Source organism: Homo sapiens, chromosome 5, assembly GCF_000001405.40.
Source record: "Homo sapiens chromosome 5, GRCh38.p14 Primary Assembly".
NCBI lineage: Eukaryota > Metazoa > Chordata > Mammalia > Primates > Hominidae > Homo > Homo sapiens.
The window spans coordinates 155,007,720-155,024,168 of NC_000005.10; the positions used below are offsets into that span (position 1 = coordinate 155,007,720).

Sequence of the window (16,449 nt, forward strand, 5' to 3'; positions counted from 1 at the left end):
TGCTGCTGGGAAGCTTCCCTGACACCCCCTAGGAGGAAGAGTTATCCTTGCTGCTTTCCTGGGTTTGCTCATCCAGGGGGATTGTGGCAGCTGTTGTGATTATTCTCTCCATCTCTGTCTCTGTTCTCTCTCTGTCTATATTTATATCTGTCTCTGTCTCTGTCTTTCTGTTTCATCCTCTCTCTCTCTCAGACAACCCCCCACCACCTGCTGCAGTAGCTTCACTTCCCAACACACCTAGAAACCCACACATTCTCAGCTATAGAGACAAGGAGGACAACCCATGGAAGCACATTGGGCCAATTAGTGAGGGAAATTGATGACTATAAATTTTATGAATTCAAAAAGTTACTGAATAATACATGTTCAACACAGAAAAATTAGAAAATATAGGTAAACAAAAAAGCAAATGAAAATCACTGAGTGTATAAGGAATTTTTAAATTAAATACCAGTTTAAAAATATGAGAAAAGAAATCTATGAATGAAAACCAAATACTCAAACGCTTCAGAAGGGCATGAAATAAGGAGTGAGATCCTCTGTTGCTGGACCCCCAAGTCCCCTTCCCTTGAGACAAAAAATTCCAGAAATTTACTCTACCTGCACAAATGTATGTCTCTATGCATATGATCTTAAAAGAAAACCACAAATGGGAGCATAATGTTATTATTGTATTTTTAGTAGACATGGGGTTTCTCCATGTTGGTCAGGCTGGTCTCGAACTCCCAACCTCAGGTGATCTGCCCGCCTTGGCCTCCCAAAGTGCTGGGATTACAGGTGTGATCCCAGCACCTTATTATTCTACTTAATAAATTCCAAATACCTTTCCATGACAGCACATATGGATAAATTGTGAATATGGCAAATATACCTTAGTCATTGAGTGCCATGTTATGAGTACCATGTTAATTTTTGAATATCATGAATTATGAATACCATGTTAATTTGTGAATATCTCTGGAATACATATTGAAGCAACAAAGACAAGAAAAAAGGACACTCGGCACTACTGGGAAATGATACTTGATTATTTAGAATTTATCACATTTGCGTTATCTTTGTGGAAGGATGTGACAAATGAATTAATTTGCCTTTTCTCTAAACTGACCACTCCCATCACACAAATGCTCTGTGCACTCTGAATCACTGCCTGTCTTTGATGTCAGCAGTGACACAATCCGCAAACCTTCATGGCATTTGGACTCATTGTGTTCAAGGACACAGAGCCAGAGCAGGGCTGCTTCCCTGGGGCCTAGATGGTGCTGGTCTTGAGAGCAAGTGTTCAGGGAATGGGCCATGCTTACTAGAGTTGAGCACTGATGGACAAAGGGGCCAATATATTTTTTAATAAACAGATTTTTTATGACATGTGGGATCTTCTAAAATGGAGCGGGGCCCCTCCTGCCCAGGTCTATGGGTGGGACTCTACACTGGCATGACCGCACTGGTTGTTAAGATATTGAATTCTGTTCATACAGTTGGTAATAGATGCTGCTTTGCATCCCAAATGATCTCTCCCCGTGACTCCCCCTACCCTGGCCCTCCCCAGAAACCACCTCCCCTGCCCTCCTCATGATCCAGCAACTGAAAGGTTAATGCTGAGAACAGCAAAGGGCCTCTAGAACATGGCTCCAGAGCTGTTGCTGTGCCTATTTCTGTTGGCACAGAAGGGATGGAGGATGTGCTGATCAGGTTGTTACATATTTTTATTATTACCCCTACTTATGAGTAAATATTCAGTGAATACCATGCCCTTGTTTCTCTAAAGACAATTTTGTGTCAGAGACCACCGATGATAAAAACAAGATGGGTACTATGAGAAAACAAAGCCCAGGTGACAAGCTGGGATGCTATAGGTCACATCCATTTCATCAGGTGGCACATTGAGAGCCACCTTGACCACTTTGGTTTCTCCGGAACAAGCATCTTTGGCAGGAACCCAGTGGCAAAACAAACTGGAGTCATGAGGGGTGATTACCTTGCAACTGCTGCTTGCCACATTATCTCAAGAGTGATGCTTAGGATTCTGAAAACACCCTGCCTGGGGCCAATAGTACAACATTTAGAAAGACATGGAGTTGGTGCCATTTTTCCTCTTCGTCTACAACTCCAATAGATACGTCCCTTTTCCCCTTTAAGAAATGTGGCATTTAGGGTATTTAATTTAATTGGGTGGATTGGGTAGAAGTAGAATAAGTTGCTTTTCCCTGTCCTTAATTCTGTTAGGTAACCAGAGACCAGTTGGAACAAAACCAAATCTGATTTACCAAAGATAACATCTGTTAGCATGTTTTCTTCTTCCGGGCTTTTTTTCTATGCATGTAAATATAAATAAGTTGCTATGCTTTTACAAAATTGGAATTATTATGTTTTATATAGTTTGTATTCTATTTATACTTAACATTATATGGAAAGCAATGGCCAAATCATTAAGTATTCTTCTAGGACAGGATATTTAATGTTTATATAATGTTTTATCACAGGGCTAAATCACATTTAACACTTTTATTTTGGACATTTAGGCAATTTTCAATTTTTTGCTAATATAAGTAACTGTATGATAAATAGTCACATCTTTTCACACATCCTTTCCTTAGAATAAGGAATCTCAGCTTCAGAGATACTCCTTTTTAGTTCATATGCCAACTCTCAATCTTAGTTGCCACCATTAGGTTTAATTTCTCCCACAGCTTTTTTATGGCCTCTGGACTAAGCACCTCTTGAATTATCTCTGAACTCTCAGCAGCTTTATAGAAATAATCTGGAAGCTGACCAGCAGCTCTAGTTTCTGGGCACGTCTGATTTACAGATTTCCTAGACATGGGGCAGATACTGGCCATTGCTGACGGCTCCATAGTTTGTATGGGTAGTGTAAGCATCTAATAGGAGATGGAATCTTTTTTCTCTTGGCCTACTTCTATCCTCCTCCTCCCTTCTCTCTTCTTCCTCTCTCTCTCTCTCTCTCGCTCTCTGTCATCTTTCTTGCTCTCTCTCTGGAAAAGACAGATTGGCATAACCTGAGTCAGATACTCACATCTGGATCTGTAAACCATAGGCCAGATAAGGTGGGTTACACTGAAGAAATATAGCAACTTCTATAACCCTATGCATAATGAGAAGAAGAAGAAATTCTTAGAAAATAGTGACTGGGCAAACAAGGCAACAGGGTCCAAAACAATTGGGTTTGATAAGGGAGGGTTCTAATCTATGGTCTGCTAGAAACTTGCTGAGCCACTCAGTCTCCTTCGCTAGGACTCAATGTGCTCCTCTTTGGAATGACACAGTTGGCTGGGTGTGGTGTGCATACATGTAATCCCAGTACTTTGGGAGGTTGAGGTGGGAGGATCCCTTAAGTTCAGGAGTTTGGGACCAGCCTGGGCAACATGGTGCAAGCCCATCTCTGCCAAAAACAAACAATTGAACAAAAATTAGCCAGGCGTGGTGACATGCACCTGTAGTCCCAGGTACTTGGGAGGCTGAGATGGGATGGATGATCACTTGAGCCCAGGAGGTAGAGCCTGCAGTGAGCCATGTTCATGCCACCGCACTCCAGCCTGAGTGACAAAGTCAGACCCTGTTTCAAAAAACCAAAAAAAAAAGTAAAAAAAAAAAAAAAGACACAGTTGGACTGATTGATTCCCAGATTCCCTCTAGGTCCTTCAGTTTGTTGGTGGTAAAGCCAAGGCTCCAAACTAGGGCTTCTTCCTCATGACATATCTCCTCCAGCTAGCAGCCTTCTCCAGTCCATGCTGTTGTTTATGATGAGTTCCCTGGCTTCCACCTCCACTCCACCAGGCCAGAATGAAGACACTGACCTTTGCAGTTAACTTCCAAGAAAGATGTGTGTGTTTCTTGCTTTAGGCTGTAGGTGAAATATGAGTAAATGGAATTTGGGGTAATCATTTTTCCCTGCTGACTCTGTAATTGCATTGTGATTCCAGAACTCTTTTTCCTTTAGAGAATGTGAGATATTGGAAAGCCCTTAGAAGTCATTTAGTCCAGGAGTTCTTAATCTGAATTCTGTGAACCTCTGAGGTCTGGGAACACACTGAAATTAGAGGAAGAATGTGTGTATGTACATTTTTGAATCGGTAGAGGAGATCAATTTTTAAAGCCACCTTATTTTTAACGGAGATACAATTAAGATCTTAAAATGTACAGATTAAATATTCAATTTGATAAGTTTCCACGAATATATAACTTGAGCATCCATCATCCAAAACAGGACCTAAAACATTTTCATCACACCCAAAGGGCACCCCTTATGTCACTTTCTAGTCAATCCTCCCCTGCCCCCCATTCCCCCAGCAACCACTTTCTGACTTCTATTTCATATGACCACAGTTTATTTTTTTCTTGTTTTAGAATTTCATGTGAATGGAACTGTACAGTTTTTGCTCTTTTGTCTTGCATCTTTTGCTCAACTTTTTTTTTTTGTAAAAAGACAACATTTTTTAGATCAGTTTTAGATTCACAGCAAAATTAAGAGGAAAGTACAGAGATTTCCCACATGCCTCCTTCCCCCAGACATGTTATCAACATCCAGCACCAGAACGGTACATTTGTTATAATTAATGAACATACACTGACACATCATTATCATTCAAAGCCAATAGTTTACATTAGGGTTCACTCTTAGCATTGTACATCCTTGTCAGCATTTGATGTTGTCAGTGTTCCAGATTTTGGCCATTCTAGTAGGTGTGTAGTAGTATCTTATTGTTTTAATTTACATTTTCCTGACCAAATATGATGTGGAGCATCTTTTCATGTGCTTTTTGCCATGTTTATATTTTCTTTTGTGAGGTGTCTGCTAAAGCCTTTGGCCCATTTTAAAATCAGGTCGTTCGTTCACTTATTGTTGCATTTTAAGAGTTATTTGTATATTTTGGATAATATTCCTTTATCAGATGTGTCTTTTGCAAATATTTTCTCTCAGTCTATGGCTTCTCTTCTTATTCTCTTGACAGTTTTGTTTGAAGAGCAGAAGTTTTCGATTTTAATGAAACTTATTAATGATTTATTTCATGGATTGTGCCTTTGGTGTTATATCTAAAAAGTCATCTCACACCTGAATTCATCTAGGTTTTCTCCTATGTTATTTTCTAGGAGTTTAATAGTTTTGCATTTTACAGTTAGGACTATGATCCTTTTGAGTGAATTTTTGTGAAGGCTGTAAGGTCTGATTTTTTTTTTTTTTTTTTAACATGCAGAAGTCCAGTTGTTCCAGCACCATTTGTTCCATTTGTTGAAAAAACTATCTTTGTTTCATTGTATTGCCTTTGCTTCTTTGTCAAAGATCATTTAACTATATTATGTGGGTCTATTCACTGTATCTAAATGGTCTCTCTACTCTAATACATTGGCCTATTTGTCTATTCTTTTGCCAATACCACATTGTCTTGATTACTGTAGTTTTATAGTAAGTCTTGAAGTTGGGTAGTGTCAGTCTTATGACTTTGTTCTTCTCCTTCAATATTATGTTTGCCATTGTATTTTTTTTTTCCTCTCTATATAAACTTTAGAGTCAGTTTGTCAATATCTATAAAACAACTTGCTGGGATTTTGATTTGAATTGCATTGAATGGATAGATCAGTTTGGGAAGAACTGACATCTTTACGATATTCAGTCTTCTTATCCATGAACATAAAATATCTCTCCATTTATTTAGTTCCCCTTTGATCTTGTTCATCAGAGTTTTGTAGTTTTCATCACGTAGATCTCATACATATTCTGTTAGGTTTATACCTATTTCATTTTTTAAGTGCTAATGTAAGTGGTATTGTGCTTTCAATTCTGAATATCACTTATTCACTGTTGGTATATAGGAAACCAATTTACTTTTGTGTATTAACCTTGTATCCTTTAAGTTTATACTATACTCACTTATTAGTTCCAGGACATTTTTCTGTTGTTGGTTAAAAAGAAATTTCTCGATTTACCCTCCCCTTCCCACCGTGCTGGCCTGCGCGCGCGGACGTGCGCGCTCCGCCCTCGGGCCGCCTGCACTGCAATTGGTTGGTGTCTCTGGGAGGGATTTGAAACTTGGCGGTTAAAGCTCCGGCTGGGACAGGGCGGCGGGAGACCCCGGGTGAACGGGGAAGGGACATTTAGTTTGAGACGGTGCTGAGATAGGATCATGAAGGAAGAGGTGAAGGGAATTCCTGTAAGAGTGGCACTGCGTTGTCGCCCTCTGGTCCCCAAAGAGATTAGCGAGGGCTGCCAGATGTGCCTTTCCTTCGTGCCCGGGGAGACTCAGGTGGTGGTTGGTACTGATAAATCCTTCACCTACGATTTTGTGTTTGACCCCTGTACTGAGCAGGAAGAAGTCTTCAATAAAGCAGTAGCGCCGCTCATAAAAGGCATATTTAAAGGATATAATGCAACGGTCCTGGCCTATGGGCAGACTGGCTCTGGAAAAACCTATTCAATGGGAGGTGCATACACTGCGGAGCAGGAGAATGAACCAACAGTTGGCATTATTCCTAGGGTAATACAACTGCTCTTCAAAGAAATTGATAAAAAGAGTGACTTTGAATTTACTCTGAAAGTGTCTTACTTAGAGATTTACAATGAAGAAATTTTGGATCTTCTATGCCCATCTCGTGAGAAAGCTCAAATAAATATACGGGAGGATCCTAAGGAAGGCATAAAGATTGTGGGACTCACTGAGAAGACTGTTTTAGTTGCCTTGGATACTGTTTCCTGTTTGGAGCAGGGCAACAACTCTAGGACTGTGGCCTCCACAGCTATGAACTCCCAGTCGTCCCGATCTCATGCCATCTTTACAATCTCCATAGAGCAAAGAAAGAAAAGTGACAAGAATTGCAGCTTTCGCTCCAAGCTGCATCTTGTAGATCTCGCTGGATCAGAAAGACAGAAGAAAACCAAGGCTGAAGGGGATCGTCTAAAAGAGGGTATTAATATTAACCGAGGCCTCCTATGCTTGGGAAATGTAATCAGTGCTCTTGGAGATGACAAAAAGGGTAGCTTTGTGCCCTACAGAGATTCCAAGTTAACTCGACTGCTGCAAGATTCTCTAGGAGGTAACAGCCACACTCTTATGATAGCCTGTGTGAGTCCTGCTGACTCCAATCTAGAGGAAACATTAAGTACCCTTCGCTATGCTGACAGAGCAAGAAAAATCAAGAACAAACCTATTGTTAATATTGATCCCCACACAGCTGAACTTAATCATCTAAAGCAACAGGTACAACAGCTACAAGTCTTGTTGCTACAAGCCCATGGAGGTACCCTGCCTGGATCTATAAATGCAGAACCATCAGAGAATCTACAATCCCTGATGGAGAAGAATCAGTCCCTGGTAGAGGAGAATGAAAAATTAAGTCGTTGTCTGAGCAAGGCAGCTGGTCAGACAGCCCAGATGTTGGAGAGGATCATTTTGACAGAGCAAGTGAATGAAAAACTGAACGCCAAGCTAGAAGAGCTCAGGCAGCATGTGGCCTGCAAGCTGGATCTTCAAAAGCTAGTGGAGACTTTGGAAGACCAGGAATTGAAAGAAAATGTAGAGATAATTTGTAACCTGCAGCAACTGATTACCCAGTTATCAGATGAAACTGTTGCTTGCACGGCTGCAGCCATTGATACTGCGGTAGAAGAAGAAGCTCAAGTGGAAACCAGTCCAGAGACAAGCAGGTCTTCTGACGCTTTTACCACTCAGCATGCTCTCCATCAAGCTCAGATGTCTAAGGAGGTGGTTGAGTTGAATAACGCCCTTGCACTGAAAGAGGCCCTAGTTAGGAAGATGACTCAGAACGACAACCAACTACAGCCCATTCAGTTTCAATACCAGGATAACATAAAAAATCTAGAATTAGAAGTCATCAATCTGCAAAAGGAAAAGGAAGAATTGGTTCGTGAACTTCAGACAGCAAAGAAGAATGTCAACCAAGCCAAGCTGAGTGAGCACCGCCACAAACTTCTCCAGGAGCTGGAGGGTCAAATAGCTGATCTGAAGAAGAAACTGAATGAGCAGTCCAAACTTCTGAAACTAAAGGAATCCACAGAGCGTACTGTCTCCAAGCTGAACCAAGAGATATGGATGATGAAAAACCAGCGGGTACAGTTAATGCGTCAAATGAAAGAGGATGCTGAGAAGTTTAGACAATGGAAGCAGAAAAAAGACAAAGAAGTAATACAGTTGAAAGAACGAGACCGTAAGAGGCAATATGAGCTGCTCAAACTTGAAAGAAACTTCCAGAAACAATCCAGTGTGCTCAGACGTAAAACGGAAGAGGCAGCAGCTGCCAACAAGCGACTCAAGGATGCTCTCCAGAAACAACGAGAGGTCACAGATAAGCGGAAAGAGACTCAGAGCCATGGAAAGGAAGGTATTGCAGCTCGAGTGAGGAATTGGCTTGGAAATGAAATTGAGGTTATGGTCAGTACTGAGGAAGCCAAACGCCATCTGAATGACCTCCTTGAAGACAGAAAGATCCTGGCTCAGGATGTGGTTCAACTCAAAGAAAAAAAGGAATCTCGGGAGAATCCACCTCCTAAACTCCGGAAGTGTACATTCTCCCTTTCTGAGGTGCATGGTCAAGTTTTGGAGTCAGAAGATTGTATTACAAAACAGATTGAAAGCCTAGAGACTGAAATGGAACTCAGGAGTGCTCAGATTGCTGACCTACAGCAGAAGCTGCTGGATGCAGAAAGTGAAGATAGGCCAAAACAATGCTGGGAGAATATTGCCACCATTCTGGAAGCCAAGTGTGCCCTGAAATATTTGATTGGAGAGCTGGTCTCCTCCAAAATACATGTCACCAAACTTGAAAACAGCCTGAGACAGAGCAAGGCCAGCTGTGCTGACATGCAGAAGATGCTATTTGAGGAACAAAATCATTTTTCTGAGATAGAGACAGAGTTACAAGCTGAGCTGGTCAGAATGGAGCAACAGCACCAAGAGAAGGTGCTATACCTTGTCAGCCAGCTGCAGGAAAGCCAAATGGCAGAGAAGCAGTTAGAGAAATCAGCCAGTGAAAAGGAACAACAGCTGGTGAGCACACTGCAGTGTCAGGATGAAGAACTTGAGAAGATGCGAGAAGTGTGTGAGCAAAATCAGCAGCTTCTCCAAGAGAATGAAATCATCAAGCAGAAACTGATCCTCCTCCAGGTAGCCAGCAGACAGAAACATCTTCCTAATGATACCCTTCTATCTCCAGACTCTTCTTTTGAATATATCCCACCTAAGCCAAAACCTTCTCGTGTTAAAGAAAAGTTTCTGGAGCAAAGCATGGACATCGAGGATCTAAAATATTGTTCAGAGCATTCTGTGAATGAGCATGAAGATGGTGATGGTGATGGCGACAGTGATGAGGGGGATGATGAGGAATGGAAGCCAACAAAATTAGTCAAGGTGTCCAGGAAGAACATCCAAGGGTGTTCCTGCAAGGGCTGGTGTGGGAACAAGCAGTGTGGGTGCAGGAAGCAAAAGTCAGACTGTGGTGTGGACTGTAGCTGTGACCCCACAAAGTGTCGGAACCGCCAGCAAGGCAAGGATAGCTTGGGCACTGTTGAACAGACCCAGGATTCCGAAGGCTCCTTCAAACTGGAGGATCCTACCGAGGTGACCCCAGGATTGAGCTTCTTTAACCCTGTCTGTGCCACCCCCAATAGCAAGATCCTGAAAGAGATGTGTGACATGGAGCAGGTGCTGTCAAAGAAGACTGCTCCAGCTCCCTCCCCTTTTGACCTCCCAGAGTCGAAACATGGAGCAACAGAATACCAACAAAATAAGCCTCCAGGGAAGAAAAAGAAACGAGCTCTGGCTAGCAACACCAGCTTCTTCTCTGGCTGCTCCCCTATCGAAGAAGAGGCCCACTGAAGTTGGAGTCATCATCTCTACCCCCAATCTGGCTTGGGAGATGCTTTCCAGTTGCAGCCAGAAGGGGTTTTTTAAATGACTTCTCTGGATTTCAGGTTTCTTGCCGTTGAAAAAAAGGAACAAAGCATTACTAAAAAGAAGGTAACCTTTGTTGGATGTTGTCCCTCAGTCTCCATCCCCAGACTACTGCTCTCTGCTCTCTAGAAGGCTGCTAAACCACCTGCTGAAGAGAGAACCAACAGACTTTCCTAATGACTCATCAGGAACCAGTCCTCAGTATGATCAAGTTCCTTCTTATTTGTGAGCAGTTCAGGCTATCTCCTGATGGGGATGAGGCCAAGGCTTTCTTATCTTTTGGTTGTCTCTGCTTAATGGAGGAGCCTGGCCTAGGATGGAGGTCTGGCTCAGATCTTTCACTCCACCTCGGGAATGGGGTTGTGATCTTTCCTGTCCTGACCCCCTCTGAATTGTAAGTGTTTCAATAGTACTCTTGATTGTATGCCATGTTGTTGAAGTAAATGAATTATTTTTAAATGTTAAGTAAATAAACCTTAGCCCATCTACTGTTAAAAAAAAAGTCTCATAGACTATCATGCCATCTGTGAACAAAGATAAGTTTTGTTTCGTTTTGTTTTTGAGACAGAGTCTCACTCTGTTGCCCAGGCTGGAGTGCAGTAGTGTGATCTTAGCTCACTGCAACTTCTGCCTCCATGGTTCAAGTGATTCTTGTGCCTCAACCTCCCAAGTAGCTGGGATTACACGCTCATGCCACCATGCCCGGCTAATTTTTTGTATTTTTAGTAGAGACGAGGTTTTGCCATATTGGCCAGGCTGGTCTTGAACTCCTGACCTCAACTGATCTGCTCGCCTCGGCCTCCCAAAGTGCTGGGACTACAGGCGTGAGCCACTGCACCTGGCCATTAACAAAGACAGTTTGATTTCTTCCTTCCCAATGTGTATACTTATTTCCTTTTCTTGTTTTATGACGTGAGCTAATATTTTCAGTACAATGTTGAAAAAAAGTGGAGAGAGAGGACATCCTTGACTTGTTCTGTATCCTAGTGGGAAAACTTCCAATTTCTCACCATTAAATATGACGTTAGCTGTAGGTTTCTTGTAGATATTCTTTATCAAGATAAGTTCAACTTTGTTCCTAGTTTACTGAGAGTTTTCATCATAAATGGGTATTGGATGTGTCAAATGCTTTTTTTGCATCTATTGATACGATCGTGTTAATTTTTCTTTTTTAGCCTGCTGAGGTGATTACATTGATTTTTGAATGTTGAACCAGACTTGCATACCTGGGATACATTCTACTAGGTTATGGCATATAATTCTTCATTTCATTTTCTTATGATGTCTTTGGTTTTGATAATATAATCACATCATGTTTTCTGAGATTCATTCATGCTGTTGTGTATATTAGTAGTGTTACGGGATCTCTGGGGTGTAGATTTTTCTGGCCAGAAACCTCTGTGGCCACAGCACCTTTGCCTGGGTTCTTGTCCAGCGTCCAGGAAGAATGAGGTACACAGACAAGTGAAGGGTGAATAGTTTTATCTAGTATTAGAACAGCTCAGAGTGGGTAGCTCCCTCTGTAAGCAGGTTGTTCCATCAACTGTTCAGCTCTCGGCAGAGAGGAGACCCTGGAGAGGGTGGCTCCTCTCCGCAGACAAGTCATTTGGATGTCTCTACAGGTCTCTGAAGCTCTCATCTGAGAGGGTCGCTCCTCTCTGCCGGCAGGTCGTCTCTGTAGCTCTCAGTGGAGAGAGTACTACTCTCTGCACCGGTCGTCCCATCACCTCCAGCTATCATCGGAGCGAGTGCTCCGCTCTGCAGCTGGTTGTCCCCTCGTCGTCTCTCTGCCCTCTCCCTCCTCTGGCTGTCCTCTGGCCTGCTCTGCCTGAGCGCCTAGGGCTTTTATGGACCTCAAAGGGGAGAAAGTATGTGCTGATTGGTCCATGAGCGGCCATGGGGAGCCGGAAGAGGCACTACGAATTCCCACTCCAGTCCGCGGGACTGGCAGCCCAGCCCCCAGCCTTCAGGCCCTCCCTGGCCTGAGGGTGGGGCCTTACTGGGGACCCTGTCCCCTTCCGCCAAGGAATCAATCTGCCTCCTGCTGTCATTCATGGCCCCGGGGCTCGGCCCCAACCCCTGCTCTGAGACCAGAGCAGGGCAAAGAGGGGCCAGACAGTGGAAGCAGACACCCCCCAAGCCTGCAGGGACTGGGAGTGGGGTGGGGGTGGGGTGGGAGACTTCCTGGGGCCCCGGAGGGTGCAGGCTGCAGAGATGCCTGGGTCCTGCGCCTGGGAGGGCGGCCGCAGCTGCTCCCGGGAGCTTCCGCCCCGCCAACTCAGCCCAGCTCATGCCTGCTTCCTGGAGTGGGAGGCCCAGGTCTGCAGCTGCCGGTGTTGCAGATGCTTCTGCACCTGGGGGTGCAGATCCTGCCTGTCCCTGGCTTCGCCAAGAGCACAGGGAGGCTCGGATCCACAGCTGACGTTTGGGCGGCTGTAGCTCCAGGAGGGCGGGGCTCCTGCCTGCTTTGTAGAGCAGGAGGCCTGGGTCTGCAGCTGCAGGTTGGGTGGCTGCAGCTGCAGGGAGAGCTCCCGTCTCAACTCAGAAGGGGCAGGGCTCCCACAGACTCCATGGAATGTGCAGCCCCAGTCCCGCTTCCCTGCTGCAGCCGGCATGATGGCAGCAGCCACTGCCATCAGTAGTTGGTTCCTTTATATGGCTAAGTAGTAGTCAATATTATGAATATATAACAATTTGATTATCATTCTCCTATTGGTGGGTATTTGGATTATTTCCATTTTATGCTATTATGAATAAGGATGTAATAAATATTCCTTTATGAGTCATTTTGTGGACATATGTTTTCATTTTTCATGGATTAATATTCGGGAATTGAAATGTTGGGTCATGAGTAGATGTATGTTTAACTTGAGAAGAAACCGACAAACAGTTCTTCAAAGTACCTACACCATTTTTATACTCCCACCAGCAATGTAAGAGAGTTCGTTTTTCCACATACTAGTGAACACTTGGTATGGTCAGTTTTTGTAATTTTAGACATTCTAAAGTATGTAAAATGGTATCTCATTGTGGTTTAAATTCGCATTTCTCTTATGACTAGTTTTATTGAGCATAGTTTCATGTGCTTATTTGGCCAGTTGGAAAATTTCTTTCATAAGATATCTGTTTAAATCTTTTGCCCATTTAAAACCAGTTGGAATGACTTGTTACTTGGAAATAAAAGAGTTGTCATCAAGAGAAAATCTACATGTGCCGATAGCCTAAAGTAACTGACACTGGTGTTGAGTATAGATAAATGGGTGTTTATCAAAATATAGAAGGTGACTCTAGCAGAGGGAGCAGAGTGGGCAAAGCTACAGAAGTAAGGAACAGAATACTTTGTTCAGTGAATGAATCATAAGTAGTGGAGTGTGGTGGAGAATGGGATGTGGACAGCAGGAACTAGAGTTTTAAAGCACAGTGAGACATGGAGCTGGAGAGACAGGCATTGTTGGCTTTATATACCATGCTAAGGCATTTGAACTCTTCTAAAGATGGTATGGAATGACTTGAGTTTTACTCAGTAGAGTGGCATAATTAGATACATGTTAAAAATTTGCAGAAAAAATATACCTACTTTATATATACCAATGGATTGAGTCATGGAAGACCCTTGAAAAGATACGCTTTCTGGAGGCTGAGACACTTGTCACTGGCATGGGATAACAGATATGTTTAAGAGACTATGACTAATATTGTCTAGCAAGGCATGCTGAGGTCTTGGTGCTCCTCAAAAAAGTCTGTATTTTTGCAATGGAGGCAGTTTACAGAATTAAAATTTTATTGTTTTAAACCTCAGTATTTAGAAATTATGCTTATTTGCTTTTATGTCTTCATAACATATAAAAAACATGTCTTTCAATTTTGATGGGGGACTCTATCATAGGTTCTGAGTTGCTTTCATGAGGAAAACATTCAAAGGAAACAGCTGCATTGCCTGCATATAACAAGCCAGCTCAGGGATTGAGGACAGTGTAGAAGGTTAAAGAATTACACCTTCAGCAGAAGGTAGGAGAAATGCTAGAAATATCTTATATCAGTTAGGGTTCTCAGATGCAAACAACAGAATCCGCTTTTGCTGGTTTATTCAAAGAAGAAATTCATTAAAGGATATAAGAGGCTTACAGAATCTCAGGGAAGGCCAGAGATGAAGTCTGAGGCTATTCATTTAGAAACCAAGCCCAAATCACACTGTGGGGTCACTACAATGAGGACAACACTATTGCTCAGCATACATATGGTGCTATCACTGATCATGTGAGGGACTGGACCACAGAAGCTGTGCTACTACGGCCTCCTAAATCTCAATACTTTCATTACTTCAGTCATTAAAATATGGATTTGGCATAGTGTCTGCCTTCTCATGTGATTCATTTCCAAACTGAAGTCTCACATATGTCTGACTGGTAGAGCTAGATCACGTGCTTAAATCTGAGCAGCAAGGGAGCCTGGGAAAGTGAGTTCTGGCTTCTTTCTTGGAGAAGATCGACTTATAACATGTTCACAAGATATTAGATGGTTAAAATGTCTATAACATATTATGACATTACTCGTCTCACATAGCAGCTATCTGCAATTAAAAGGAGAGTGAAAACACGTTGATCAGGCACTGTCTCTTTCTTTCTTGTAAAATTAAAAACAAAACAAAACAAAAAATGTTTAGAAAGGGAGGAGAAATATCCCTAATTTTGGCAGGCCCTAAAAGAGATTGTATGAATTTACTTGAGTTATTTGTATGAAGTTTTAAACATCTACCTATTCATCTTCCTGTTCTGTAGCTAAGCTAGCATGCTAATAGCACTGTAGTATTAAAGAAGCTTTTGTGATCGGCCTGGGAACCATCACTACTTGTAACATTGTGCCAGGAACAGAGACAGCAGCAACATCCTGGACGAGACTTTCCACTTTGTGATTGATACTTTCTGCTAAAGCCCTAGTCATGCTGACTGGAAGCTATCTTGGCAGGATAAAAGGTCATCACTGGCATTAAGGATCTCTTTAGGTTTCAATAAACAGAATCCATTCAAGATAACTTACCCTAAAGAAGGACATTTATTATAAGGATACAGAGCTATCTCCTGGAATGCAAGGGTAGGAAGTTCAACCTGGCCCCATGAGGGACTAAGCCAGGACTCTGAAAACCCTCAGAAACTAATGGAAAGTGTGTCTGTCTATCTGTCTGTCTGTCTGTCTGTCCCAGCATCTTTTGCATGATTTGTCATCTCTGCTTCTCTCTAAACATCTGCTTCATTCTTTTCCTCTGTACAGACTGATGTCCTCTGCTTTTACGTATATGGCAGAAAATGGCTACTTCATTCAGTCCTTACATGTCCTTTCTGTTCAAGAGCCAACAAAGGCAAATGGACATTTCCAAGTCTTGACTCCAAATGCCTGGGACAGAGAATGCCTGTACTGGGTTGAATAGTGTATCCCCAAAATGTATGGTCTACTTGGAACCTCAGAATGTGACCTTATTTGGAAATAGGGTCTTCACAGGTGTAATTTATTAAGATGAGGTCATACTGGATTAGTGTGGGCCCTAATCCAATGACTGAGGTCTTTATAGGACGACAGGCATAGGAGAGAATGCTGTGTGAAGATAGAGGAAAAGATTGGAGTTACCCTTCCACAAGTCAAAGGATGCCAAGGATTACCAGGAACTACCAGAAGCTAGGAGAGAAGAGTGGAACAAATTTTCCTTTGGGCTTGCCATAGAAACCAATCCTGCCAACACCTTGATTTCAGATTTTCATCCTCTGGAACTGTAAGAGAATAAATTGCCGTTGTTTCAAGCCACCCAGTCGTTGTCATTTGTTATGGCAGCCCTGGGAAACAGAGAGAGTTTCTTTGGCCCAACTGGGTCCAATGTCCACCTTGTGCATTCACCTGGTTTAGCTATGGCCAGGGTGGAGGGGTCGAGCCAGACACTGTGCAGAAGAATCTCTAAGAAGGGGATGTAGAAGGAGCAGGCAAATTGATGAACAGATATAATAATTTTTTTTGTGCTTCCTTATAACCAGAGGTGTCTGTGGGTACCTAGCAGTGATCAGAGGGAACAGCAGGACCCTAGATATAGTTCCTAATCATTAGTACTTTAAGAACAACTTACCTCTTGCTATTTGTGAAATGGGATTGCAAAGATACCTTGCAAAGATACCTGATTCTGATGGCCTTGTCACTGTCTTTGACCAATAGAATGCAAAAGAGATAGGTGTCTGTTCTAAACCTAAGTCGTTTTTTTTTCTTTTTTTGACAGGGTCTGGCTCGGTCGCCCCCTCCCACCTCAGCTTCCCAAGCAGCTGAGACTACAGGAGTGTGCCACCATGCCCAGCTAATTTTTATACTTGTTGTAGAGATGCAGTTTTGCCATGTTGCCCAGGCTGGTCTCAAACTCCTGAGCTCAAGCAATCTGCTAGCCTCAGACTCCCAAAGTGCTGAGATTACAGGCGTGAGCCACCCCGCCTGGCCTTCTAAGCCTACGTCTTTAAGCATTGCGTGCTTTCACTTCTTCTCTTGGAACCTCGCTGTT

At 42.8% G+C, this 16,449-nt stretch overlaps 1 protein-coding gene across 1 annotated transcript; it reads left to right on the top strand.

The window, feature by feature from the left end:
- Nucleotides 1–6,035: 6,035 nt before the first annotated feature.
- On the top strand, nucleotides 6,036–10,422 carry KIF4B (kinesin family member 4B). The gene has a single exon (NM_001099293.3). The coding sequence runs from the start codon at nucleotides 6,141–6,143 to the stop codon at nucleotides 9,843–9,845; it is 3,705 nt and encodes a 1,234-aa protein (NP_001092763.1). The 5' UTR covers nucleotides 6,036–6,140; the 3' UTR covers nucleotides 9,846–10,422.

Excerpts from the sequence above, each read along its gene's own strand:
- KIF4B (NM_001099293.3), top strand. The coding sequence starts at position 6,141 with ATGAAGGAAGAGGTGAAGGGAATTCCTGTAAGAGTGGCACTGCGTTGT.